Consider the following 27,557-nt stretch of genomic DNA (forward strand, 5'->3'; position numbering starts at 1 on the left):
TCATATGTCTTGTTCACTGCTCCATCCTCAGCACGTAGAAACTGTACCTGGCACATAGCAGGGGTTCAATTAGTATCTGTCAAGTGGAAAATAGCTGGGACTAGAATGAAGAAGCTTGAGCTAAGCATCTCTAAAATTTGAAAAAAGTGAAACATAAAGAAAAAGAAAGGGAGAAAGGGAAGGAATTCAGTCCACCCTGACATCCGGGGATTTCTTCCTCAGAAGAACTCTCAAATGCTTCTCCTAGGAGAAAGGAAGGCAGGGAAACTCCAACCCCAAGACAAAGCAAAACAGACTCACTGATCTGCACCATGCAGCTGGCGCCCGACTCTGGCCCAACTATGTGGCTTGTAACACACTTGAACTTCTTGCCATCCGACAGCTGGGACTCGCTCAGCATTTCCACCCCCAGCTTTGACTTCCCCACGATTACACCTCCTGGCTCTTCTATCCACAGGAAGTCAGGGTCAGGGTATCCCCCATCCCAGCGACAGGTAAGCTGCAACATGAACGATCCTGATGCCATCTGTGCCCAGCACTGGGGAGCTGATGGAGGGGGATCTGCAAAACACCAGAGGAAAGCATGGGCTGAATCACAGACTCTAGGATCAGCCACTGGACTGGCTCTAAGGATGGCAGAACCAGGGTCTCAGAGGGACATCAACCCCAGTTAGTGTTAGCATCTAATAGCTCCTAGCACAAATTCATGCCTGACAACAGTCAGGCTTCCTCTGTTGGGTGTTAAATTTCCGACCTGGGTCTCATTCACCTTTGCATTTCTTTCTTTCTTTCTTTCTTTGTTTTTGAGATGGAGTTTCACTCTTGTTGCCCAGGCTGGAGGGCAGTGGTGCAATCTCGGCTCACTGTAACCTCGACCTCCCAGGTTCAAGCAATTCTCCTGCTTCAGCCTCCCAAGTAGCTGGGATTACAGGCATGCGCCACCACGCCCTGCTTATTTTTATATTTTTAGTAGAGACAAGGTTTTGCCATGTTGGTCAGGCTGCTCTTGAACGCCTGACTTCAGGTGATCCACCTGCCTCAGCCTTCCAAAGTGTTGGGATTATAGGCGTGAGCCACTGCGTCTCGCCTCGCTTTTGCATTTCTTATTTATTTTTTCTTTTCTTTTTTTTTTTTAATAGAGACAGGGTTTTGCCATGTTGGCCAGGATGGTCTGGAACTCCTGGCCTCAGGTGATCCACCCGCCTCAGCCTCCCAAAGTGCTGAGATTACAGACGTGAGCTACCGCGCCCAGCCTCACTTTTGCATTCCTAATTTATTTTTTCATTTTTTTTTTAAATAGAGACAGGGTTTTGCCATGTTGCCCAGGATGGTCTGAACTGCTGGCCTCAGATGATCCACCTGCCTCGGCCTCCCAAAGCGCTGAAATTATAGACGTGAGCCACCGCGCTCAGCCCCACTCTGCATTTCTACCGTGGTTTTCGTCCAAGATATTTGTGTATGGGAGTGTTTGGTTGGTGTTTCCCCACTCCTGAGATAAAGATTCACACGCTACTTGTTCATAACAGTGCTAGAGGGCCCGGTGCCTATGACAGCCACACAGGTCCACAAAAACAATGTATACAGATGGATGGATGAACAAATAAATTGTGGTCCATCCACGCAAGGAACGGACTATTATTCAGCCATTAAAAGGAATGGATTACTGATACATGCCTCAATATAGACGAACCTCAAAAACATGAAGCCAGGTGAAAGAAGCCAGACACAAAAAGCCCCACATTGTATGAGCCATTCATATGAAGTGTACAGAACAGGCAAACCCACAGGGACAGAATGCGGATTGGGGGTTGTCCAGGTCTGGGGAAAAGAGGGAATGAGGGTGACTGCTTATTGGGTACAGGGTTATTTGGGATGACAAAATGGTTATCTGGGATAACAAAAATGTTTTGGAGGGCCAGGAATGGTGGCTCATGCCTGTAATCCCAGTACTTTAGGAGGCTGAGGTGAGCAGATCACTTGAGCTCAGGAGTTTGAGGCTAGCCTGGGCAACGTGGGGAGACCCTGTCTCTACTAAAAATAGAAAAATTAGTCGGACATGGTGGTACCTGCCTGTGGTCCCAGCTACTCTGGAGGCTGAGGTGTGAGAACTGAATTGCTTGAACCTGGAAGGTGGAGGCTGCAGTGAGCAGAGATCTCGCCACTGCACTCTAGCCTGGGTGACAGAGCGAGACTCGGTCTCAAAAAGAAAAACAAAATGTTTTGGAACCTGATACAGGTGATGGTTGCATAAATGCACTGAATGCCACTGAATTATACATTTTTATTTTTACTTTTTTTTGAGACGGAGTCTCGCCCTGTCGCCCAGGCTGAAGTGCAGTGGCACATCTTGGCTCACTGCAACCTCTGCGTCCCAAGTTCAAGGGATTCTCTGCCTCAGCCTAAGTAGCTAGGATTACAGGTGTGAGCCACTGAGCCCATTCAATTGTACATTGCTAAATGGTTAATCCTACGTACTTTCACCTCAATTTAGGGGAAAGAAAAAAAAAAGAATGCATTAGTGTTCTTCCGTGGTTCCCAAGCACTCTCCTGCACCCCTGCATAGCAGCAAGCTTCCAGAAGGGATGATTCCTTCCCTGAGTGCAGCAGCCCTGGATGTGTGTATTGAGGGAGCCACAGATACATGTTCAGAAGAATCATGCAGCAGGCACCCCCTTAAAGACAAATGGGAGGCCGGGCGCAGTGGCTCACGCCTGTAATCCCAGCACTATGGGAAGCCAAGGCGGGTGGATCACCTGAGGTCGGGAGTTCAAGACCAGCCTGACCAACATGGAGAAACCCCGTCTCTACTAAAAATACAAAATTAGCTGAGCGTGGTGGCCCATGCCTGTAATCCCAGCTACCTCGGGAGGCTGAGGCAGGAGAATCGCTTGAACCCATGAGGTGGAGATTGCGGCGAGGTGAGATCGCAACTTTGCACTCCAGCCTGGGCAAGAAGAGGGAAACTCCATCTTAAAAAAAAAAAAAAAAAAAAAGACAAATGGGAGAGGCACAAACGTGCAGTTCATAAGTTCACAAAGGGTTAAGGGGAAGAAGCGGGGCAGAGGAGTGCTGCTTACGCACAGTAGACCAGGAGCTCGGTGGTCACCTTTCGATGTCTCTTGCTGAGCTGATTCAAGGCTAAACAGGTGTAGTTCCCTTGGAGGTTTGGCGATATCAGTAACAGTGAGAAAAAGTTGACTGTCAGGTTGTGGCCAAAGGACTCGCTGCTGGAATTCAGGGCCTGGAACCACCATTCAACCACGGGTGGTGGCCTGGAGCTGCTGTTGCAGCTGAAGTCCACCTGGGAGCCCCTGGCTGCGTAGAGGGTGCCGTTGGGGAGTGTGCCGGTGGCCACGATGTGGACCTCAATCTGATAGGGGCCGCCTGGGGATGACAGGGGGAATAGGATGGCATTAATTATGTAAGAGCTCATTCGATTGCCTTACCAACTCTAATATATAAATGAACAGAAAATAGCCAATGAAGAGTATGGTATCTATCTAATACTAGGTGACAAATGCTATGCCAAGTGCCCTGATACATTATTTCATTTAATCCTGGGTGACTATGTGAGACTTTTTTAGGGGGATAAATCTTTACAGAACAGCAAAAGTATACATTGCTCCTTTAAAAAACAAAAAACTGTAAGGGCTAGGCACAGTAGCTCATGCCTGTAATCCTAGCACTTTGGGAGGCTGAGGAAGGAGGATCACTTGAGGCCAGGAGTTCCAGACCAACCTGGGAAACATAGTGAGACCCCATTTCTACAAAAAAATTAAAAATTAGGGCCAGCGCGGTGGCTCATGCCTGAATTCCCAGCACTTTAGGAGGCCAAGGCAGGTGGACCACTTGAGGTCAGAAGTTCAAGACCAGCCTGGCCAACATGACGAAACCCTGTCTCTACTAAAAATACAAAAATCAGCTGGGCGTGGTCGCGCATGCCTGTAATCCCAGCTACTAGGGAGGCTGAGGCAGGAGAATCACTTGAACCTGGGAGATGGATGTTGTAGGGAGCCGATATTGCGCCACTGCACTCCAGCCTAAGCAACACAGCAAGTCTCCGTCTCACAAAAAAAAAAAAAAAAAAAAAAAAAAAAAAAAAAATCACTGCAAGGGCTAGGCACAGTAGCTCATGACTGTAATCCTAGCATTTTGGGAGGCTGAGGTAGGAGGATCACTTGAGGCCAGGAGTTCCAGACCAACCTAGGAAACATAGCTAGACCCAATCTCTACAAAAAATTTAAAAATTAGGGCCAGCACGGTGGCTCATTCCTGAATTCCTAGCACTTTGGGAGGCCAAGATAGGCAAATCACTTGAGGTCAGGAGTTTGAGACCAGCCTGGCTAACATGACTAAATCATGTCTCTACAAAAAATACCAAAATTAGTTGGGCGTGGTGGCACACACCTGTAATCCCAGCTACTTGGGAGGCTGAGGCACGAGAATTGCTTGAACCTGGGAGGAAGAGGTTTGCAGTGAGCCAAGATCACACCACTACACTCCAGCCTGGGCAACAGAGTGAGACTTCATCTCAAAATAAATAAATAAATAAATAGCCAGGTGTGGTATCATGTGCCTATAGTCCCAGGCGCCCCCAGCAGCTGGGACTACAAGCGTATTCCACCATACCCAGCTAATTTTTGTATTTTTAGTAGAGACAGGATTTTGCCATGTTGCCCAGGCTGGTCTTGGACTCCCAGGTTCAAATGATCCACTCACCTTGGCCTCCCAAAGTGCTGGGATTACAAGTGTGAGCCACCACACCTGGCCAAAAAAATTTTTTAAAGTTTTGCTGGCCAGGGACGGTGGCTCATGCCTGCAATCCTAGCATTTTGGGAAGATGAGGCAAAAGATCACATGAGCCCAGGAGTTCGAGACCAGCCTGGGCAACATGGCAAAACCCCATCTCAAAAAACACCAAAGAATTTGCCAGGCGTGGTGGTGCAGGTAAGTAGTCCCAGCTATTCAGGAGGCTGAGGTGGGAGGATCACTTCAGCCCAGGAGGTGGAGGTTGCAGTGAGCTGTGATTGTGCCAGTACACTCCAGCCTGGGTGACACAATGAGACCCTCCCTATCTCAAGAAAAAAAAGAAAAGGAAAAGCTTTGCCAAATCCTGTTCTAGAACAATCTACAGCTGCTGCCTTCCTGTTCTTTGCTGTCCTCTTTGACATCAGAATTCACTTCTTTCCTTACCCACCACAAATATAGGTTGGCCAGTCAAGAGCTGCAAAAGGTTCATTTACATCTCAGTATCTTGAATTCCTTGCTAACAGGAAAAGTTACCTTATCTTCAGCTATTTACTCTTTAGACCAGGAATTTTATTCGAAAATGACTTCAGAATGCACCACACAGTCTGTGCTAATCAGTTAATGTGTACTTCTTCAATGGGATAAGGTCTGTGGGAAGACTTACAGACTGTGATATCACCTTTATAGGCAAAATCAACAACCGACTTTCTCTTGATCTCCCTAGTGACTGCCACGCAAAGAGCCCATCCCAGAGATCTGCAGGCTCCTATAAGCACCAATCTCTGCTACAGATAAGCTTGGCAGGCCAGGCACGGTGGCTCATCCTGTAATCCCAGCGCTTTGGGAGGCCGAGGTGGGTGGATCGCTTGAGGTCAGGAGTTTGAGACCCACCTGGCCAACATGGTGAAACCCCATCTCTACTAAAAATACAAAAATCAGCTGGGCGTGGTAGAGCATGCCTGTAATCCCAGCTACTCAGGAGGCTGAAGCAAGAGAATCACCTAAACAAGGTCAGGAGATCGAGACCATCCTGGCTAACACGGTGAAACCCCGTCTCTACTAAAAATACAAAAAATTAGCAAGGCATGGTGGCGGGCGCCTGTAGTCCCAGCTACTCTGGAGGCTGAGGCAGGAGAATGGTGTGAACCCGGGAGGCGGAGCTTGCAGTGAGCCGAGATCGCGCCACTGCACTCCAGCCTGGGCAACAGAGTGAGACTCCGTCTCGAACAAACAAACAAACAAAAACAGATAAGCTTGGCAAGACCTAAATTAATCAATCCTTGGGCAAGAATCACCCCACCTTCTGACCAGGCACAAACAAGTTTTCTTCGGTGTACCCAGCATTCCCTTTCCCTAGGGGCCTACACTGTGAGAAGACATAGCGACACCACCACCAACACAGACAAAGAGCTGTTGGTGGGTCCATATCAGACAGGTCCATCAGCCAGGAAACATGGATCTTTCTGAGATTCCCTTTCTTGGAAGTTTGGACTGAAGGCCACATCACTGGCTAGAGAGGAGGTCCCCATCCCCCAAACCCAACTGAATCCTAAGCCTCTTGGAGGTAGACACAGACCAGCTTCCTCATTGCTCACGTGCGAGCTGGTTCCATTGTTCCCCAAACACTTGTTTGGCCTGAGAAAAACAGACACAGGGAGAGCCTGGCACTGTGTGCCATGAAATCTGACTGGGGTCTTTCATGGGCTGATTTATCTCTCGATAGCTAAGCTCCTCAAATGCATATATAAGAGACAATATCTTTAAGAAAAAGAAAAACACAAAGTTGGCTGGGCATGATGGCTCATGCCTGTAATCCCAGCATTTTGGGAGGCCGAGGCGGGTGGATCACCTGAGGTCAGGAGTTCAAGAACAGCCTGGCCAACATGGTGAAACCCTGCCTCTACTAAAAATACAAAAATTAGCCAGGTGTGGTGATGCACGCCTGTAGTCCCAGCTACTTGGGAGGCTGAGGCAGGAGAATCATTTGAACTCAGGAGGCAGAGGTTGCAGTGAGCCGAGATCACACCACTCCTGGGCAACAGAGCGAGACTTCGTCTCAAAAAAAAAAAAAAAAAGTTGGGCCCAGGCATGATGGCTCACGCCTGTAATCCCAGCACTTTGGGAGCCCAAGGCGTGTGGATCACCTGAGGTCAGGAGTTCAAGACCCAGCCTGGCCAACATGGTGAAACCCTGTCTTTTCTAAAAATACAAAGAATTAGCCAGGCGTGATGGCAAATGCGTGTAATACCACCTACTTGGGAGGCGAGGCAGGAGAATCGCTTGAACCCGGGAGGCAGAGGTTGCAGTGAGCTCAGATTGCACCACTGCACTCCAGCCTGGGCAACAAGAGCGAAACTTTGTCTCAAAAAAAAAAAAGCACAAAGTCAGCTGGGCACGGTGGCTCACCTCTGTAATCCCAGCACTTTGGGAGGCGGAGGCAGGCGGATCACTTGAGGTCAGGAGTTCAAGACCACCCTGGGCAATATGGCAAAACAAAACCCTGTCCCTACTAAAAACACAAAAATTATTCAGGCGTGGTAGTGGGTGCCTGTAATCCCAGCTACTTGGGAGGCTGGGGCAGGAGAATAGCTTGAACCCAGGAGGCAGAGGCTGCCATGAGCCGAGATCATGCCAGTGTGGGTGACCAAGTAAAACTGCGTCTCAAAAAAAAAAAGTGTACCAGGATATGGGAAAGGCTGTGACACCTTCCCTATCTGACCAGCCTGTCTGCAGGTAAACACATGGCTGTTCCAATATCATACCCACTCCAATTTGGAGGTAGCAGGGATGGGTCAATTGATGAAATAAACAGCTGTGTGGCCGGGTAAGATGGATCCTGCCTGTAATCTCAGCATTGTGGGAGGCTGACACGGGAGGATCGCTTGAACCCAGTAGTTCAAGACCAGCCTGAGCAACATAATGAGGCCCTGTCTCTGCAAAAATATTTGTTTAATCAATTTATTTATTTACTTATGTATTTTTTTGAGATGGAGTCTCACTCTGTCACCCAGGCTGGAGTGCAGTGGTGAAAACTCAGCTCACTGCAAACTCCGCTTCCTGGGTTCAAATGATTCTCCCACATCAGCCTCCTGAGTAGCTGAGATGACAGGCGTGTGTCACCACGCCCAGCTAATTTTTTTGTATTTTTAATAGAAATGGGGTTTCACTATGTTGGCCAAGGCGGTTTCAAACTTCCGACCTCAGGTGATCTGCCCACCTTGGTCTCCCAAAGCGCTGGGATTACAGGCGTGAGCCACCACTCCCAGCCTAAATTTAAAAATTGAAAAAAAAAAAAAAGAAAGAAAGAAAGAAACGGCGTTGGCAGCCCTTAACTGCTCTGGACCAAGGGATTTCTGTACATTTAGAAGCAGAGTCTCAATCCTAATGGCAAGACCCTTCAACTTCACCTTTCAATTAACAGGGAGCAGTGCATACTCTTGTTGTGGGATGAGTGATGAAATCACACCACGGGTGCCCATTCCAGGCAGGTTGAATTGCCCCGGGCCTACAGAAAACCTGACCTCCTACAAGACAGAGACACCAAATGCCCACCGATGGACAAGCAGAGGACCAAGGGGTAAGGAGGGAGAAATCTAGCAACCTCCCTACTTCCATTTCCATGTTTCTACAGCATCTCTGTCCATTCACACATCCCCAGCCACTTGCAGATAACAAACTGTCATATCTTGGAATTTGTTCCCCCTAGATTCCAAGGCCATGTTAGAATGTTTCCAAATTGTTCTCCTTAAGAGAAGGAGGGGGCTGGGCGAGGTGGTTCATATCTGTAAGCCCAGCACTTTGGGAGGCCAAGGAGGGAAGACTGCTTGAGCCCAGGAGTTCAAAACCAGCCTGGGCAATATAGTGAGACCTTGTCTCTACAAAAAAACTAAAAAATTAGCCGAGTGTGGTGGCACACACTATTAGTCTCAGCTACTCAGGACGGTGAGATAAAAGAATCACTTGAGCCTAGGAATTCAAGGCTGTAGTGAGCCGAAATCACACCACTGCACTCCAGCCTGGGTGACAGAGTGAGATCCTGTCTCAAAAAAAAAAAAAAAAAAAGAGAGAGAAGGAGGTAATGTGACTCAGCTAGCAACTACATCAGTGAAAAGATCTGGGCACAAAGAGTCCCTAACCCACAGCAAGACCTGTTCGAAAGACCCAGATGAGGCTGGGCGCGGTGGCTCATGCCTGTAATCCCAGGACTTTGGGAGGCCGAGGCGGGTGGATCACGAGGTTAGGAGTTCAAGACCAGCCTGGCCAACATGGTGAAACCCCGTCTCTACTAAAGATACAAAAAATTAGCCAGGCGTGGTGGCGCACGCCTGTAATCCCAGCTACTCGGGAACCTAAGGCAGGAGAATCACCTGAACCCGGGAGGCGGAGGCTGCAGTGAGCCGAGCCATTGCACTCCAGCCTGGGTGACAGGGCGAGACTGTGTCTCAGAAAAAAAAAAAAAAAAAAGGACCCAGATATAAACTGGTTGATTGTTGAGAACTTGAGATGGACTATCCCACGGGAATCCCATCGCTGGCTTAACCACTGGATCCAGTTCAAGTGTGCTGAGGGCTACATGAGTTTATCTCATTAATGCATAACACAAATCCGTAACTCCTTCCACCGTTACCCTCAATTTCACAGACAATAAAACTAACACTGGAGTTCAAGGGACTTTCCCAAGGTCACACAGACAACAACAGCTAATAGAACGTGGATTTGAACCCAGTCATCTGGACCACTCCGAAATACCACTGCCATCCCAGAAAGAGGCTGAATCAAACCTAATCTATTTTCCTAAATCTACGCAAAAATGAGGGCCAACTCCAATCAGAGATGTCACGCCCTCCCCGCTGGCCACTGTCGGGGAGCAACACAGGCTTCCAAGGCAGAGAGGAGTCTGCTGTTTAGCCCAGGGACCTCCTAAGATGAGAACCAGGAGACCAACCCCAGACGGCTCTGGTGTATTTGAATCAAAGGGTATCTGTGTCTGGTTTTCACAAACAAGCCCTACATCAGTCAAGGACCCCATGTATTTCCACGTGAAGAAATTTCCATACTATGAATCACAGCACAGTAACTAAGACATGCACAGGACTTCCCTGGAGGGAGTACAAAGTGCCACTGGAATTCAGTGACATTTTTATTCCTTTTTCTTTTTTTTTTTTTTTTATGAGACAGACTCTTGTTCTGTCACCCAGGCTGGGGTGCAGTGGTGCCATCTCGGCTCACTGCAACCTCCGCCCTCCCCGGTTGAAGCTTTTCTTGTGTGTCAGCCTCCCACGCATCTGGGATCACAGGTGTGCATCATCACACCTGATTAAGTTTTGTATTTTTAGTAGAGATGGAGTTTCACCATGTTGGCCAGGCTGGTCTCAAACTCCTGACCTCAAGTGATCCACCCGCCTCAGCCTCCCAAAGTGCTGGGATTACAGGCATGAGCCACTGCACCCAGCCATGAGTTCAGTGACATTTTTAAAGTTGCAAGTTCACGTTCATTGCAACAAGACCTTGCCTTTATCTCCCTACAGGGCAATAATGAAACTAATCCATCCTCCAATAAACTTAGCCAATGATTAACAAATCAGTGTCTGATCAAGTCATCATAAACTAAAGAGAGTGATGATAAAGAAACAAAAAGTTGCAATGTCGCCTTACCCCACTGTGGATAAAAGATAAGGTTATTCATTGATGAGATGGACAGGAAGCGATGACTAATTATTTTGGGCAGGTGGACTGAGGGAGACCAGCCAGCACTTGCCCGTAGGCTCACAGTGGGAACCAAACAGTGGGGCCAAGATGGGTGACATTTTTTAATGCACCCCCTTCATTCCTGGCATCACCCAGGAATTTATCTATGGCCTCTCCAGACACAGAAACACTGCTGTAATGGACGATGCCCTAATCTTTGAGAATTGGCAGAAACCTTAGACATCACCCAAAACCAAGAAGTGTCCTGGAAGCCTCTCTTTCCTTTATCCTCTACTTCTGATCCAGCAGCGAGTCCTGCTGGTCTCCTTCCAAAATATTTTCCAAACCTGTGCATTTTCACCAAGGCCACTGTCGCCACCCTGTCTGGTCACCGACTCTGTATACCTTCAATTCTCCCTTCCCTGTTTTATTTCATCAGCTCTTCTTGATACCAAACACATACATTTTCCATGTGCAAATGAAATGGTGCCACACCCCTGCTGGAAGCTCCCGGAGTTTCTCCTGCACACAGAATAAAATCACAACTCCTAGCCAGGCACAATGGCTCACGCCTGTAATCCCACACTTTGGGAGGCTGAGGCGGGCGGATCACCTGGGGTCAGGAGTTCAAGACCAGCCTGGCCAACATGGTGAAAACCCCTTTCTACGAAAAATACAAAAATTGGCCGAGCATGGTGGTGCGAGCCAGCTACCCGGGAGGCTGAGGCAGAAGAATCGCTTGAACACAGGGGGCGGAGGTGGTTGTGAGCCGAGATCATGCCACTGCACTCCAGCCTGGGCGGCAGAGCAAGACTCTATCTCAAAAAAATAAAAAATAAAAAACTAAGGATGTCAGTCAAACTGGGCTAGTGCCCACCCTAATGATGTCTTCTTAACTTGATTGTATCTGCAAAGACCCTATTTCCAAATAAGCTCACATTCGTAGATACCAAAGGTTAGGACTTCCACATATCTTTTTGGGGGACATAATTCAATCCATAGCACAGGTCCTACTTGGCCCCAGTCTGGCCTGGCCTCCCATATTTCACACGGCCTGCCCTCTTACACACGAGGCGAGGCCCCTGCCACGCCGGCCTTCTCCCTATCTGTGAATGCACCACACTCAGCTCAACCTGTCCTGTTCTGCCTGGAAAGAGAATTGGCAGAATTCTTCTCCTTTTATTTTTTCAGAGACAGGGTCTCTCTGTCACCCAGGATGGAGTGCAGTGGTGTGATCATGACTTACTGCAGTTTTGATCTCCTGGGCTCAAGCGATCCTCCCACCTCAGCCCCTCAAAGTGCTGGGATTACAGGGATGAGCCACTGTGCCCAGCCCTACTTACCAATCAGTTTAAATGTCACTACTTCCAGGCCAGATGCAGTGGTTCATGTCTGTAATCCCAGCTTTTTGGGGGACCAAGGCGGGTGGATCACTTGTGGTCAAGAGTTCGAGACACGCCTGGCCAACATGGAAAAACCCCATCTCTACTGAAAATACAAAAAAATAGCAGGTTTGGTGGCACACATCTGTAATCCCAGCTACTCAGGTGGCTGAGGCATGAGAATCACTTGAACCCGGGAAGCAGAGGTTGCAGTGAGCCAAGGTGGCGCCACTGTATTCCAGCCTGGACGACAGAGGGAGAATCTGTCTCAAACAAACAAACAACAACAAAAAAGTCATTACTTCCAAAATCTCCCCTCTGGCCTCCCAAGTTAAAATGTTTCAGGGGCTGGGTACGGTGGCTCACGCCTGTAATCCCAACACTTTGGGAGGTCGAGGCAGGCGGATCACGAGGTCAGGAGATCGAGACCATCCTGGCTAACATGGTGAAACCCCATCTCTACTAAAAATACAAAAAATTAGCCGGGTGAGGTGGCAGGTGCCTGTAGTCCCAGCTACTCGGGAGGCTGAGGCAGGAGAATGGTGTGAACCCGGAAGGTGGACCTTGCAGTGAGCTGAGATCGTGCCACTGCACTCCAGCCTGGGCAACAGAGCAAGACTCTGTCTCAAAAAAAAAAAAAAAAAGTTTCAGAAAAATCACATTAATTTGTTTCTCATCTGTGTGCCCCACTAGGCTGCTCACTCCTCAAGGGCAGAGACCTTGTCTGCCTTCTTCACACCTGTGGTCCAGTGCCTAGAACAGTGTCTGGCATCAAGCTCTCAATGAATCTATGTTGAATAAAGGAATTAGTAGGTTCTTTATTTTACAGATGAGGAATCTTGGATCCAGAACAGTGATCACATGGGTATTTCCCTATTTTATTATTATTATTATTATCATTTCTTTTTTTGAGACGGAGTTTCACTCTTGTTGCCCAGGCTGGAGTGCAATGGCGCAATCTCAGCTCGCTGCAACCTCTGTCTCCCAAGTTGAAGCGATTCTCTTGCCTCAGCTTCCCGAGTAGCTGGGATTACAGGTGCACACCACCACACCTGGCTAATTTCTTGTATTTTTTGTAGAAACGGGGTTTCACCATGTTAGCCAGGCTGGTCTTGAACTGACCTCAGGTGATCTGCCCGCCTCGGCCTCCCAAAGTGCTGCGATTACAGGCGTGAGCCACCACATCCAGCCTATTCTTTTTATTTTTATTTTGAGGCAGGATCTCACTCTGTAGCCCAGGGTGGAGTACAGTGGCACCATCTTGGCTCACTGCAACCTCCGTCTCCCAGCTCAAGCGATCCTCCCCACTCGGCCTCCTGAATGGCTGGGACTACAGGTGCATGACACCATGCCCAGCTAATTACTATTTTCTAAACTTTTTGTAGAGATGGGGTCTCACTACATTCCCTAGGCTGGTCTCAGACTCCTGGGCTCAAGCAATCATCCCGTCTCAGCCTCCCAAAATGCTAGGATTATGGGCATGAGCCACCGTACCTGGCCTCCCATGGGTATGTCTACTAAACTACATGCCCTGAATCCAGAGCATGGATGTCCTTCTAATCCAGTGACCAGCAAACTCTCTCTGTAAAGGGCCAGAGAGCAAATAAATTTGGCTTTGAAGCCCATAGGATCTATGTTAACAGCCACTCACCTCTGCCATAGTTAGTAACAAAGGTAGAGATAATATGTAAATAAATGAATGTGGCTATATTCCAATAAAACTTTATTTACGAACACCAACATTTCAATTTCATTTCATATGATTTTCTTTTTCTTTTTTTTTTTTTTGAGACAGGGTCTTGCTCTGTCACCCAGGCTGGAATGCAGTGGCGTGATCACAGTTCACTGCAGCCTCGACCTCCCTGGGCTCAAGCAATCCTCCCACCTCAGCCTCCTGAGTAGCTGGAACTACAGGCACACGCCATCACACCCAGCTAGTTTTTTCACTTTTTGTAGAAATGGGGTCTTGCTATGTTGCCAGGGCTGGTCTCAAACTCCTGGGCTCAAATCATCCGTCCGCCTCAGCCTCCCAAAGTGCTGGGATTACCGACGTGACCCACTGCATCTGGCTTTCATATGATTTTCATGTCACAAATATCCTTTTTTTTCCAACCATTTAAAAATATAAAAAATATTCATAATTGGCTGGGCATGGTGGCTCACGCCTGTAATCCCAGCACTTTGGGAGCCCGAGGCAGGCAGATCACAAGGTCAGGAGATCGAGACCATCCTGGCTAACACAGTGAAACCCTGTCTCTGCTAAAAATACAAAAAAAAAAAAAAAATTAGCTGGGTGTGGTGGCGGGCGCCTGCAGTCCCAGCTACTTGGGAGGCTGAGGCAGGAGAATGGCATCAACCCGGGAGGTGGAGCTTGCAGTGAGCTGAGATTGCGCCACTGCACTCCAGCCTAGGCGACAGAGTGAGACTCCATCTCAAAAAAAAAAAAAATTCATAATCTGCAGGCCATACAACAGCAGGCTGTAGTTTACAACCTCGCACTCTAAATTCTTTTTTTAATAATTTTTTGTAAATATGGGGTCTCACTATGTTAACCAAGCTGGTTCCAAACTCTTCGCTCAAATGATTCTCCCACCTCAGCCTCCCAAAGTGCTGGGATTACAGGCATGAGCCACAGCACCCGGCCTGCTGTAAATCCATATGTGTATATCAGCAGATATGACAGACTGTTTTAGGAAAGTGCAATAGGAAAGGTGGCTCATGCCAAGCCCTGTACTTAGCACCGTAGTATAAGAGTGCTCACTATAGCTGGACACGGTGGCTCATGCTTGTAATCCCAGTACTTTGGGAGGCCGAGGTGGGCAGATCACGAGGTCAGGAGTTCAAGACCAGCCTGAGCAACATGGTGAAACCCCATCTCCACTAAAAATACAAAAATTAGCCGGGAGAGTTGGCAGGCGCCTGTAATCCCAGCTACTTGGGAGGCTGAGGCAGGAGAATCACTTGAACCCGGGAGGCAGAGGTTGTGGTGAGCCGAGATTGCATCACTGCACTCCAGCCTGGGCGACTGAGTGAGACTACGTCTCAAAAAATAATAATAATAAAATAAAATAAAAATAGATAAGAGTGCTCGCTACACTTGACAAAGCAGGCAATGTATTATCCCCCATTAACAAATGAGGAAAACTGGAGCTCAGAGATATGAAGCTACTTATTCAAGGTGACACAGAACTCAGTGACAGCCTTCGCCCTGGAATTCAGGCAGTCTGACTTGACTCCATATGTTTTTTTTAGAGGCAGGGTCTCCCTGTGTTGCCCAGGCTGGAGTGCAGTGGCTATTGATAGGTGCAATTATGGTGCACTGCAGCCTGGAGCTCCTGGACCCAGGCAATCCTGAGTAGCTGGGACTACAGTCCCACACCACCGCACCTGGCTTTGATTATGATATACTGTAACTTTGTTACATAATAAAATGATATTAATAGCAAAGATGATATTAACAACAAGCTAAAAATAAAAGCTTATTAATATGCCAGGAGCCTTTTAAAGCACTTTATTTGTTTATTTTTCTTTTTTTTTGAGACGGAGTCTAGTTCTGTTGCCCAGGCTGGAGTGCAGTGGCACGATCTCGGCTCACCACAACCTCCACCACCCGGGTTTAACCGATTCTCCTGCCTCAGCCTCCCGAGTAGCTGGTATTACAGGCACCCACCACAATGCCTGGCTAATTTTTGTATTTTTAGTAGAGATGGGGTTTCACCATGTTGGCCAGGCTGGTCTTGAACTCCTGACTTTGGGTGATCTGCCCACTTGACCTCCCAAAGTGCTGGAATTACAGGCATGAGCCACCATGCCTGGCCTAACGCACTTTATAAACTGGTATCTATTCTTCACAGCAATTCTAAGAAGCAATAATTTTTTTTTTTTTTTCTGAGACGGAGTCTTGCTCTGTCGCCCAAGCTGGAGTGCAGTAGTGCGATCTTGGCTCACTGCAACCTCCGCCTCCCAGGTTCAAGCAATTCTCCTGCCTCAGCCTCCCAAGTAGGAGGGATTACAGGCGTGCGCCACCATGCCTGGCGAATTTTTTTTTTTTTTTTTTTGAGACGGAGTCTCACTCTGTTGCCAGGATGGAGCGCAGTGGCGCAATCTTGGCTCACTGCAACCTCCGCCTCCCAGGTTCAAGCAATTCTCCTGCCTCAGATTCCCAAATAGCTGGGACTACAGGTGCGCGCCACCACGCTCAGCTAATTTTTTATATTTTTAATAGAGATGGGGTTTCACCATGTTAGCCAAGATGGTCTCAATGTCTCGACCTTGTGACCCGCCCACCTTGGCCTCCCAAAGTGCTGGGATTACAGGCGTAAGCCACCGCACCCGGCCGGCATTTTTTGTATTTTTAATAGAGATGGGGTTTCACCACGTTGGCCAGGCTGGTCTCAAACTCCTGACTTCAAGTGATCCGCCCGGCTTGGCCTGCCAAAGTGCTGGGATTACAGGCATGAGCCACTGCGCCCGGCCACAGAAATTCTTTTTATCTCCATTTTACAGGTGAGGAAATAGAGGTGTGAGAGGTCCCTCAGCTTCCATGTGGCAGGGCCCAGAATGATTTCCAGGCCATCCGAACCCAAAACCCATATTCCTGACCATGGTCTCCTCCTTTCCAAGGCTCCGAGCACCTCTCCAGCCCCGGTCCCTGCCAGCCCCACTTACTGGCCACCTGCAGCCACACTTGGAACCACTGAGTCACATTCAGGATCTCCTGGCAGGTGTAGATTCCCTCATCTCCCAGGCTCAGCGATTCAATGTGCAGGGAGGTGGCATCCACTAGAGAGAAGCGAGGCTCAGCTGGCCGGAGGCTAGAGTTGGACGAGAGAAGGAAGACAGGCTCCGAGTTGTTCCGGTACCAGGTCACCTGGCCCCTCAGTCCCGAGATGTTGCCACAGTGCAGAGTAACATTCTCATGAACTTCTCCAATGACAACAGCCTCCAATCCTGTACAAGGCAAGATCAGGCTGTTACTACCCTTCTTAATTTCTAAACAATGTCCCTTTTTGGACAGTACTCCTGTATTAGGATTTTTTTAAAAATCAGGTATATGTTCTTTTTTTTTTTTTTTTTTTTGAGACGGAGTCCCACTCTGTCGCCCAGGCTGGAGTGCAATGGCACTATCTCGCCTAACTGCAACCTCTGCCTCCCGGGTTCAAGCTATTCTCCTGCCTCAGCATCCCAAGTAGCTGGGATTACAGGCACGTGCCACCACGCCCAGCTAATTTTTATATTTTCAAAAGGGACAGGGTTTCACCACCACATTGGCCAGGCTGGTCTTGAACTCCTGACCTCAGGAAAAGTCAGGCTCATGCCTGTAATCCTGGCACTTTGGGAGGCCGAGGTGGGCGGATCACAAGGTCAAGACATCGAGACCATCCTGGCCAACATGGTGACACCCCGTCTGTAATAAAAATACAAAAAATTGTGGCCGGGCATGGTGGCTAACGCCTGTAATCCCAGCACTTTGGGAGGCCAAGGCGGGCGGATCACCTGAGGTCAGGAGTTCAAGACCAGCCTAACCAACATGCAAAAACCCTGTCTCTACTAAAAATACAAAATCAGCTGGGCGTGGTAGCACATGCCTGTAATCCCAGCTACTAGGGAGGCTGAAGCAGGAGAATCGCTTGAACCTGGGAAGCAGAGGTTGCGCTGAGCCGAGATCGCACCATTGCACTCCAGCCTGGGCAACAAGAGCGTAACTCCGTCTCAAAAAAAAAAAAAAAAGCACAAAAAATTAGCTGGGCATGTAGTCCCAGCTAGTTGGGAGTCTGAGGCAGGAGAATCACTTGATCCGCCGGCCTCGGCCTCCCAAAGTGCTGGGATTACAGGCATGAGCCACCGTGCCTGACCATATGTGTTCTTAAGATGCAATAACACATACAGAGCAGCTGGGCGTAGCGGCTCATGCCTGTAATCCCAGCACTTTGGGAGTCCAAGACAGGCAGATCTCCTAAGGTCAGGAGTTCGAGACCAGCCTGGCCAACATGACAAAACCCCGTTTCTATTAAAAATACAAAAATTAGCCGGGCGTGGTGGCACACGCCTGTAATCCCAGCTACTCGGGAAGCTAAGGTGGGAGAATCGTTTGAACCCAGGAGGTGGAGGTTGCGGTGAGCCGAGATTGCGCCACTGTACTCCAGGCTGGGCGACAGAGCGAGACTCGGTCTAAAAACAAAACAAACAAACAAACAAACAACACATACAGAACGTCTGGTATGTTGGGACTCTTGGCCAGTCACTGACAATAATGAACTTGTAGTAGGTAACAAACATAGCCCCAGTTGTCCACCCAGTCTGCCCACCATCCATGCCCCACATCACTGGGGGGCCATCCCACTCTTTGTGAGGACTCAGCCATGAGCCCTGTTTTGGCCCATGGGATGTTGGGAATGTGACACAAGCAGAGTCTTTAAAGTGTTTGTCTATAATCACTACAGAAATGCAAATCAAAACTGCAATGAGGCCGGGAGCCGTGGCTCATGCCTGTAATTCCAGCACGCTGGGAGGCCGAGGGAGGAGGTTTCACTTGAGGCCAGGAGTTCGAGACTAGCCTGGCCAACATGGTGAAACCCCGTCTCTGCTAAAAATGCAAAAATTAGCCAGGCGTGGTGGCGCACACCTGTAGTCCCAGCTACTCAGGAGGCTGAGGCACGAGAATCACTTGAACCCAGGAGGTAGAGGTTGCAGTGAGCCAAGATTGTGCCACTGCACTGCAGCCTGGGTGACGGGGCAAGACTCTGTCTCAAAAACAAGAAACAAACAAACAAACAAACAAAAGGCCGGGCTCCACGCCTGTAATCCCAGCACTTTGGGAGGCTGAGGCGGTGGATCACCTGAGCTCAGGAGTTCGAGACTAGCCTGGCCAACATGGTGAAACCCCGTCTCTACTAAAAATACAAAAACTTAGCTGGGCATGGTGGCAGGTACCTGTAATCCCAGCTACTCGGGAGGCTGAGGCAGGGGAATCACTTGAACCCGGGAGGCGGAGGTTGCAGTGAGCCGATATTGTACCACTGTACTCCAGCCTGGGTGACAAGAGTGAAACTCTGTCTCAAATAAATAAATAAACAAACTACATGGTACAGACCCAAGTTGTCTCAGTGGCTCCAGCCTGGCCCATTCTAGATCAGCCTTCAGCTAGTCATCGATCCCCAGGCAGATCAGCAGAGCCCCCTAACCAACCACCCCAGCCTGTGGGTAATAAGCACTACTGTCATTTTGGGGTTGTTTCTTATACAGCATTACTGTGGCGATCAATAATTGATACAGAACCCAAGTGGCTTTATTTGCCTAGAAATCCAGAAGGGGTAGAAAGAAGAGGGCTTTGGCTTTGTTTCCACTGTCCCACTGCTCTCTCTGCCTCTCCCTCTCTCTCCGCCTCTCCCTCTCTCTCCGCCTCTCCCTCTCTCTCCGCCTCTCCCTCTCTCTCCGCCTCTCCCTCTCTCTCCGCCTCTCCCTCTCTCTCCGCCTCTCCCTCTCTCTCCGCCTCTCCCTCTCTCTCCGCCTCTCCCTCTCTCTCTGCCTCTCCATCTCTCTCCATCTCAAATGGCCCTAGAGTTCAAGTTCTCTCAGAAGCCCCATGGAAGAATGGGCTGGCAGTAGGGACTGTGTGCCCACTCTGGACAAAGCACTGGGAATCCCACTGTGGACACAACACACAGAAACCTCCAAGAGTTCACAGTCTAGTGAAGAAAAGAGACAATAAACTGGCAAGTACAATGCAGTGTGATAAACACCAAGATAAGGCCTCAGAGAAAGGGCTCCTAAGTCCAACTAGGGCAAATGTCAGGAAACACTTCCCCCAGGAAGCCAAACTGAGATCTGATGGACAAGTAGGAATCAGCCAAGAAAAGGTGAGGATGGGTTCCCAGGCAAACGGAGCATGTTCCAAAGCCCAGATCGGCAGCCGCAGCATGTTAGAAATATAAATTATCAAGCCTCACCCCAAAACACCTAGATCAGAAACTGCGGGAGAGCAGCAGCCCTTTGTGTTTTATTTATTTATTTTTAACAAATCAGCAATTATTTAACTTTTTTTTTAAGAGATGGGGGTTGGGGGGGGTCTCACTCTGATGTCCTGGACAGTCTTGAACTCCTGACTTCAAGTGATCCTCCCACCTCAGCCTCCCAAAGTGCTGGGATTACAGGAATGATTCATTATACCTGGCCCAGCATCTGTGTGTTAGCGAGCCCTCCAGGTGATTCTGACGCCCATTCAAGACTGACAGGTGTCCGGGTGTGAGTGTGCCTGCTCAGGCCTGTAATCCCAGGGCTTTGGGAGGCTGAGGTGGGCGGATCACTTGAATCCAGGAGACTGAAGCTGCAGTGAGCCACAATTGTGACACTGCACTCCAGCCTGGGCAGCAGAGATACCCTGTCTCTCTTTTTGTTTGTTTAAGGTAAAAAACTGTTTTTTTCTTTTTTAGAGATGGTGGAGGGGCGGCGGGTTGGGGTGGGGGGTCTCACTATGTTGCCCAGGCTGGTCTTTGAACTCCTGGACTCAAGCATTCCACTCAGACCCACCTCGGGCTCGCAAAGTGGTGGGATTACAGGCGTGAGCTGCCACGCCCAGCCAACCCTGACTCATAAAAAAAGACCGACAGGTGCTAACGGGCATTAGACTGTCACTAGGTAACAAGAAGCAAATGCAACCCATTTTGCTGAGAAGTTTCACAATTGTCCAGCCCCCTCCACAATCAAGACCCAATACAAAGAGGCTGCAGGAATAGGAAGATGGGCAGAACCTGTTGGGGTGATAAAAATGATGAATTAGTGGTGATGGCTGTATAACCCTGGACTACACTAAAATCCCCTGGGTGGTACACTTAAAAAGGGTGAATTTTGTGGCATGTAAATTATATCTGAATAAAGCTGTTATAGAAAAAATAAACTGCCACTTGCCCCTGGCAATCCTTCCCATTTAAGTGAAAGAGTAATCATTATCTGTATTTGGCCTCTTGTCTGGTTAGAAGGGGCTCCCTTTTAAAGATCTGAAGCCAGCCTGGAGCCCCAGGAAGTTCTGATTCTCTCACCATTTTGGCCACACCATTCCCAAGACTTTTCAGCCAAGTCAGGATGAAAACAAACGAACAAACAAACAAAACACCAAATTTTAAAAACTAAGCCACTTGCTGAAAGGTGGAGAATGCCATCTAATGACAGAGATTCCAAAACAGCAAGAAATGCTTCTGAGCAATCACTTTAAAAAGCAGGTGAGGGCCGGGGGCGGTGGCTCACGCCTGTAATCCCAGCATTTTGGGAGGCCGAGGCAGGTGGATCACTTGAGGTCAGGAGTTGGAGACCAGCCTGGCCAACATGGTGAAACCTCATCTCTACTAAAAATTAGCTGAATGGCCGGGCGTGGTGGCTCCTGCCTGTAACCCCAGCACTTTGGGAGGCCAAGGTGGGCAAGATCAAGAGCTCGGGACCAGCCTGGCTAACACGGTGAAACCCCGTTTCTACTAAAAATACAAAAAGTTAGCCGGGCGTGGTGGCGCACACCTGTAATCCCACCTACTCGGGAGGCTGAGGCAGGAGAATCCCTTGTACCTGGGAGGCGGAGGTTGCAGTGAGCCAAGATCGCACCATTGCATTCCAGCCTGGGTAACAGAGCAAGACTCTGTCTCAAAAAAAAAAGCAGATAAGAATTCTTTTTATTTATTTATTTACTTTTTTTTTGAGATGAAGTCTCGCTCTGTTGCCTAGGCTGGAGTGCAAGGCGTAATTTCGGCTCACTGCAACCTCTGCCTTTGGGTTCAAGCAATTCTCCCGCCTCAGTCTTCTGAGTAGCTGGGATTACAGGCACCCGCCATCATGCCCCGCTAAGTTTTTGTATTTTTGTAGAGACAGGGTTTCACTGTGTTGGCCAGGCTGGTCTTGAACTCCTGACCTCAGGTGATCTGCCCACTTCGGCCTCCAAAAGTGCTGGGATTACAGGCGGGAGCCACCGCACCCAGCCAAGAATTATTTTTAAATTATTAGGATTGGGAACCCAAATTATCCAGTGGCAACCGCCACAATGGAAAGGAAGATGAACTTCAGAGTTACAGATGCAACATGTGTTCATGCAACCTGCAGACCTGCCCCTTGCCTAACTCCTTGGCAAAGAAATAAAGGAACAGTGGCTTGGAAAAAAGCCGTGGTGAAACTTTAGTCTTGGAACTTGAGCTAACATTGTTTTCTCCTCCAAGGCATAGAATGACATGATCACAAAAGAAACCATTTGAAGACATTTCACTTCTCCTGGTTTGGCTTACTCCGTTCTTTTTTAAACCACTGTATCTGAAGGTGCCCTTGGAGATCATCTAGTCCAGAGATGTGGCTGCCCTGTGGGCTGGGTTGAAGATGAGATTGAGTCCTGGTTCAGTGGAAAAGAACACAGTCATCGATTTAGTGATGTCTGACATAGACATGGAAGGGGTAGTTCTTGCCTGGCAGTCCTAAACCTCCTCACTTTACTACTGAGAAAATTGAGATTTAGGAAGATTAAGTTATCACTTAAAGTCCCAAGCAAATCACTGGGAGATGTGGGATTGTCACTCAGGTCACGTTACTCTGGTCTCCTGCACCAGACAGGATGCAATGATAAAATATAGTAACAAGTTTAGAAGTCATTCATATGGTGTCCAGAGGGTCCTTCTTGCCCCCCAACCTTAAATGTACAATAGAGAACCGAAGAGGGAGTAATATAAACTCCCTGATGCTGCCCATGTATTATTATTTACAGAGTAGGAGTTATACCCAAACATTTATTTATTTTTTTAAAGCAACTTTTCCCAAGAATAACCTAGGATTTACAATCCGGGGTAGCTAGTGGATGCATATAAGTTGTCTGGCATTGAATGTCAGGAGAAAAATTTTTTTCCCCAAAAACTCCCAACTTAAAAAACAAACACACAACAAAAATACACCAAGCTCAGGAAGCCCCCTGGCATCATACACAAAGGTGAAGCAGGTCTGGGCATCAAAATAGCTGGGCAAAGGCCCAACACGGTGGCTCACACCCATAATCCCAACACTTTGGGAGGCCGAGACAGGAGGATCGCTTGGGTCCAGGAGTTTAAGACCAGCCTGGGCTCAAGCGATTGTAGAGACCGTCTCTACAAAAAAATTTTAGAAATTAGCTAGGCGTGGTGGTGCACGCCTGTAGTCCCAGCTACTTGTAGGCTGAGGTGGGAGGATCAGTGCAGTGATTGCACCACTGCACTCCAGCCTGGGCAACAGAGCGAGAGCCTGGCTCGAAAAAAATAGCTGGCCATAGCAGTGGAGATAGGTTCCCCATGGGGCGGGTGGCAGTCAGCCTGAAAGCCAGGTCATTCCAGCAGGATGACTTCATCCCAGGGTTCTTCTCACTTCCCAGGTTCCTGGTGTTCATCGTGCAGGAAACACTGCAAACAGCTGGGGAGATGGGAATACTTGACAACCACCTTTCACGTCCAGAGATGACCAACTAGGAACTGTCCTCCCCCATCACCCACACCCCAGCACAGTGATTACTCAGCCAAATGCCTGCAGGGCCAGCAGGTAACACCCATGACTGAAGGTGGCGGGGCAAATATTACAACAGGGAGAGGTGGAACAAATTTGGGCTCATATGCCCTAGATAAGAGGATGACCACTGCCCAATTCCAACTGGGAAAGCAGGCCCCGTGTTGCCAGACCTTCAGATTTTTCCAGATAAACTGGAAATCTAGAGATGTTATTGTTTTTAAATGGTTGGTTAAAAAAAAAAAAGCAAAATAAAATTGTATGAGCCTAATAATTAGGAACTCTTGGCACTTGCTGCTAAGAAGCTCCAGCATACTTTACAACCCATCTCCAGAAACGTGCAAGAGGAGACCCGTTGGGTGGAGCAGACCCGGGAACACAAAAAGTAGCGCTCTGCCTGCATCCTGGCAAACTTCACCACCTCCTGGCTCCATCTCCTCTCCCTGCACCCCAGCCTCCTCCCAGCTTGTCACACTCCCAGCACACAGTAGGCATGCACAGTAGGCATGCTGGTGAATTAAATTCAAATATATATAAATAGTTCAATCTTTTTACATTCTACATATTTTTGTAAGCACCCCTCCAATTCTTTTTTCGTAGCAAAGCAGACCATAGATGAAGCATTTCAGACCTTTTGTCAATCATGTCAAGTGTGAGGGGAAGTCTTTTGTAAGTCAGCCAAGTATTTCAAAATAAAAAGCTTTTCCAAAAGTAAAGGCGGAAGACCCCGCTTTGAAGGCGCTGGTCGGCACAGGAAGACTTGCAAAGGTGTGTAGGGAAGTCCACCGGTTACAGGTGTAAGGCGAGTTCAACCTTGGGCAGAGGGAGGAGAAAAATAAAGTGGGAGTCTCGAGTTTGAGCACCAGCGTATCAGTTACTACTAAAACCAGAACGCGAATTTACATCCGACGCTTAAAAAAAAAAATCACTTTCCCGGCACACGTGCCTCTTTACTTTGCCCCCGCACGTCGGCTCGGCTCGGCTCCTCTGCAGCCTCACCGGCTGCCCACCCCAGGAGGCTGGGGGTATCTCGCCCCGCACCGGGCGCCCGGGAAAACTCCTTCCTGCAAAGACGGCCGAGCTGCGAGCAGGAAACCAAGACCCTCCTGGGGCAGCTTCTAGGCTGGGGCCACCACGGATCCGGGCGGAGTCGGAGGGAATTGGGTCTCTCGCTGTCCCCTCCCCACCGCTGACTGGGAAAACTCAACTTTTCCCTCCAGATCGCGGCCCCTTACCTACGGCGACCCAGCCGGCCAGGAGCGCCCCGAGGCAGACGAGGACGCGGGGCTCGGGCGCACTGCCGCCTGCGGCCATCTCGCCCCAGATCCCGGCTCAGGAAACGCAGGCTCGGGCTGGGCTGGACGTGTGTGCCCCAGGGCCCCGGGGCCCGGGGTACCGAGGGCTCCTCCCAGGTCCTCGGAACGGCAGAGTGGCCCCACTTCCTCGGCCCCCAGGAAGGATGCTTGGCTGAGCCGAGTGTCCAGGGCCGGCAGCGGAGCTCGGCTGCAGGCTCGGGTCCCCGCTCCCGAGCGCCCTGGCCGGGGAGGGAGGGCGCACCCCGCCCCCTGCGCCCGCCAGCCTACTCCTGCCGGCGGAAAACAACAGGAGCGGGATCCCTCCCGCCTCCCAGCCAGGCGGGAGCCCAACTTCCTCTACCTTGGCCCGGGAGGAGGGCTTTCTGCCGAGGGCGCGCCGAGCCGGGTCCCGCCGGGCCAGGGGCGGGGCGCGGAGGCTGGGCCCTCCCCAGTCCACTCCGCCCGGGACAGCAGTACCGAGTCGCGGGGACAGCGGGCGGGACGGAGCCCTGCAGCTGCCGCAGGACGCAACCCCCGCCGCTGCCCCGGGCTGCAGAACCCGGAGGAAGCGGTTGCCAAGCTGCAGAACGCAGGACCCCCCTGGCAGTCCCCGCTGAGCGTCTCGAGGGATTCCGGTCTGTGTCCCTGGGCGCAGGGCGGGCGCCAAGGCCGCCATCGCTTCCTTTCCTTACCCTCTGCAAAAGGGAGCCAGAGAAAGATGATCCCCTGACTTTCAGCCAAAGCAGCCACGAGACTCCGGTTCTCCAGTGAACTGGCTGGGACCACACAGTGACAGCGAGAGCCAAGGAGTCCCCAGGACGTGTTTCTCAAGAGTTTTGTTTTTGCTTTTCCCCTTTTAGTTCTCCCACCCCTTACCCAGTCAGATTCCCAGGCTAAGCTCCTCTCTTCCCTGCCATGCCCTCATCCCATTCTGTCCTGGGGAAAATGCGGCTTTGATATCCTCAGGAAGAGCCATCCATAAAACAGCCCTAGGAGAAACTTCCTGTTTCAAATAATAATAATATGGCAGGGCGTGGTGGCTCACACCTGTAATCCCAGCACTTTGGGAGGCCGAGGTGGGCGGATCACAAGGTCAGGAGTTCGAGACCAGCCTGACCAACATGGTGAAACCCTGTCTCTACTAAAAATACAACAATTAGCCGGGCATGATGGCGGGCGCCTGTAATCCCAGCTACTGGGTAGGCTGAGGCAGGAGAATCGCTTGAACCCAGCAGGCGGAGGTTGCAGTGAGCCGATATCACGCCATTGCACTCCAGCCTGGGCGACTGAGCGAGACTCCATCTCAAAATAAATATTAACGTTAAAAAAAAATCATTAGTTCTGTTGTTCAACGGTCCCCTTATTGAAATGCTTCTTCCATGAGGAAATCCTCTTGAAACCACTTTAAAAAAAAAATGTTTCTCCTGGTGAACTGAGCAATGAAGCTGAACAGTTCTGCCTTTTTTACTTTTCTGTTTTTTATTTTTTTGAGACAGGGTGTCACTCCAGTTGCCCAGGCTAGAGTGCAGTAGCACAATCATACCTCGCTGCAGCCTCAAACTACCAGGCTCAAGTGATCCTCCCACCTCAGCCTCCCGAGTAGCTGGGACTACAGGTGTGCAGCACCACGCCCAGCTAATTTTTGTAATTTTAGTAAAGACAGCGTTTCTCCATGTTACCCAGGCTGGTCTCGAACTCCTGACCTCAAGTGATCCACCCGCCTTGGCCTGCCAAAGTGTTGGGATTACAGGTGCGAGCCACCGCGCTCAGCCCTTTTTTATTCTTTGCTCAAATATTTTTAAATAACTGTTCATCAGCCGGGCACGTTGGCTCATGCCTGTAATCCCAGCACTTTGGGAGGCCGAGGCAGGTGGATCACCTGAGGTAAGGAGTTCGAGAGTAGCCTGGCCAACATGGTGAAACTTCGTCTCTACTAAAAATACAAAAATTAGCCCGGTGTGGTGGCAGGCGCCTGTAATCCCAGCTACTTGGGAGGCTGAGGCAGGAGAATCGCTTGAACCCAGGAGGTGGAGGTTGCAGTGAGCCGAGATCGCGCCATTGCACTCCAGCCTGGGGAGAAGAGCGAGACTTCGTCTCAAAAAAAATAAATAAATAAAAAATAAAATAAAATAACTGTTCATCAGATTCTTGACAGGAATTTTGTTTGTTTGTTTTTTGAGACGGAGTCTCGCTCTGTCGCTGCAAGCTCCGCCTCCCAGGCTCATGCCATTCTCCTGCCTCAGCCTCCCAAGTAGCTGGGACTACAGGCTCCTGCCACCACGCCCGGATAATTTTTGTATTTTTAGTGGAGACGGGGTTTCACCGTGTTAGTGTGGGGAAAAGCAAGAGAGATCAGATTGTTACTGTGTCTGTGTAGAAAGAAGTAGACATGGGAGACTCCATTTTGTTATGTACTAAGAAAAATTCTTCTGCCTTGAGATTCTGTGACCTTACCCCCAACCCCGTGCTCTCTGAAACATGTGCTGTGTCAAACTCAGGGTTAAATGGATTAAGGGCGGTGCAAGATGTGCTTTGTTAAACAGATGCTTGAAGGCAGCATGCTCCTTAAGAGTCATCACCACTCCCTAATCTCAAGTACCCAGGGACACAAACACTGCGGAAGGCCGCAGGGACCTCTGCCTAGGAAAGCCAGGTATTGTCCAAGGTTTCTCCCCATGTGATAGTCTGAAATATGGCCTTGTGGGAAGGGAAAGACCTGACTGCCCCCAGCCCGACACCCGTAAAGGGTCTGTGCTGAGGAGGATTAATATAAGAGGAAGGCATGCCTCTTGCAGTTGAGACAAGAGGAAGGCATCTGTCTCCTGCCCCTCCCTGGGCAATGGAATGTCTCGGTATAAAACCCGATTGTACGTTCCATCTACTGAGATAGGGAAAAACCGCCTTAGGGCTGGAGGTGGGACCTGCGGGCAGCAATACTGCTTTGTAAAGC

The 27,557-nt window shown here is 49.5% G+C and overlaps 1 protein-coding gene and 1 long non-coding RNA gene across 9 annotated transcripts in view, besides 3 other annotated features; both read right to left on the reverse strand.

Moving 5' to 3' along the window:
• The window catches only part of VSIG10 (V-set and immunoglobulin domain containing 10), a 40,419-nt gene extending 15,453 nt beyond the window's left edge, over positions 1–24,966 (reverse strand). For 5 of the 8 annotated variants that reach the window (XR_002957343.2, XR_002957342.2, XM_011538502.2 and 2 more), the window contains exons 1-4: positions 24,548–24,966; positions 16,488–16,769; positions 3,082–3,384; positions 301–561 (exon numbers count right to left, since the gene is read on the reverse strand). Coding sequence is in view for 6 of the 8 variants with exons in the window: in XM_011538502.2 (XP_011536804.1) it covers positions 301–561; positions 3,082–3,384; positions 16,488–16,769; positions 24,548–24,626 (925 nt within the window). In the remaining 2 variants the exon portion in view is untranslated. Of the gene's footprint in view, positions 1–300; positions 562–3,077; positions 3,385–11,780; positions 11,853–16,487; positions 16,770–24,547 lie in introns of those variants that run through there. The other 3 variants (XM_006719467.3, XM_005253908.5, XM_006719468.2) reach the window with 3 other exon arrangements.
• Positions 6,322–6,864: an enhancer, noted in NCBI's record as "H3K27ac-H3K4me1 hESC enhancer chr12:118523172-118523714 (GRCh37/hg19 assembly coordinates)". NCBI's record gives its function as "activates a minimal SCP1, AML or CMV promoter by ChIP-STARR-seq in primed H9 embryonic stem cells {active_cell/tissue: H9 hESC(primed)}" and the evidence as "EXISTENCE:reporter gene assay evidence [ECO:0000049][PMID:30033119]".
• Positions 22,560–24,537, reverse strand: LOC124903029 (uncharacterized). Its single transcript, XR_007063478.1, has 2 exons — positions 23,944–24,537; positions 22,560–23,222 (listed from the first exon to the last, which is right to left on the reverse strand). It is a non-coding gene; the product is annotated as an uncharacterized LOC124903029 (long non-coding RNA).
• Positions 24,810–25,059: a silencer, noted in NCBI's record as "silent region_4922". NCBI's record gives its function as "represses an Ori minimal core promoter by ATAC-STARR-seq in GM12878 lymphoblastoid cells {active_cell/tissue: GM12878}" and the evidence as "EXISTENCE:reporter gene assay evidence [ECO:0000049][PMID:35858748]".
• Positions 26,701–27,416: an enhancer, noted in NCBI's record as "NANOG-H3K27ac hESC enhancer chr12:118543551-118544266 (GRCh37/hg19 assembly coordinates)". NCBI's record gives its function as "activates a minimal SCP1, AML or CMV promoter by ChIP-STARR-seq in naive H9 embryonic stem cells {active_cell/tissue: H9 hESC(naive)}" and the evidence as "EXISTENCE:reporter gene assay evidence [ECO:0000049][PMID:30033119]".

The sequence above is a fragment of the Homo sapiens genome, chromosome 12 (genome assembly GCF_000001405.40).
Source record: "Homo sapiens chromosome 12, GRCh38.p14 Primary Assembly".
Lineage (NCBI taxonomy): Eukaryota > Metazoa > Chordata > Mammalia > Primates > Hominidae > Homo > Homo sapiens.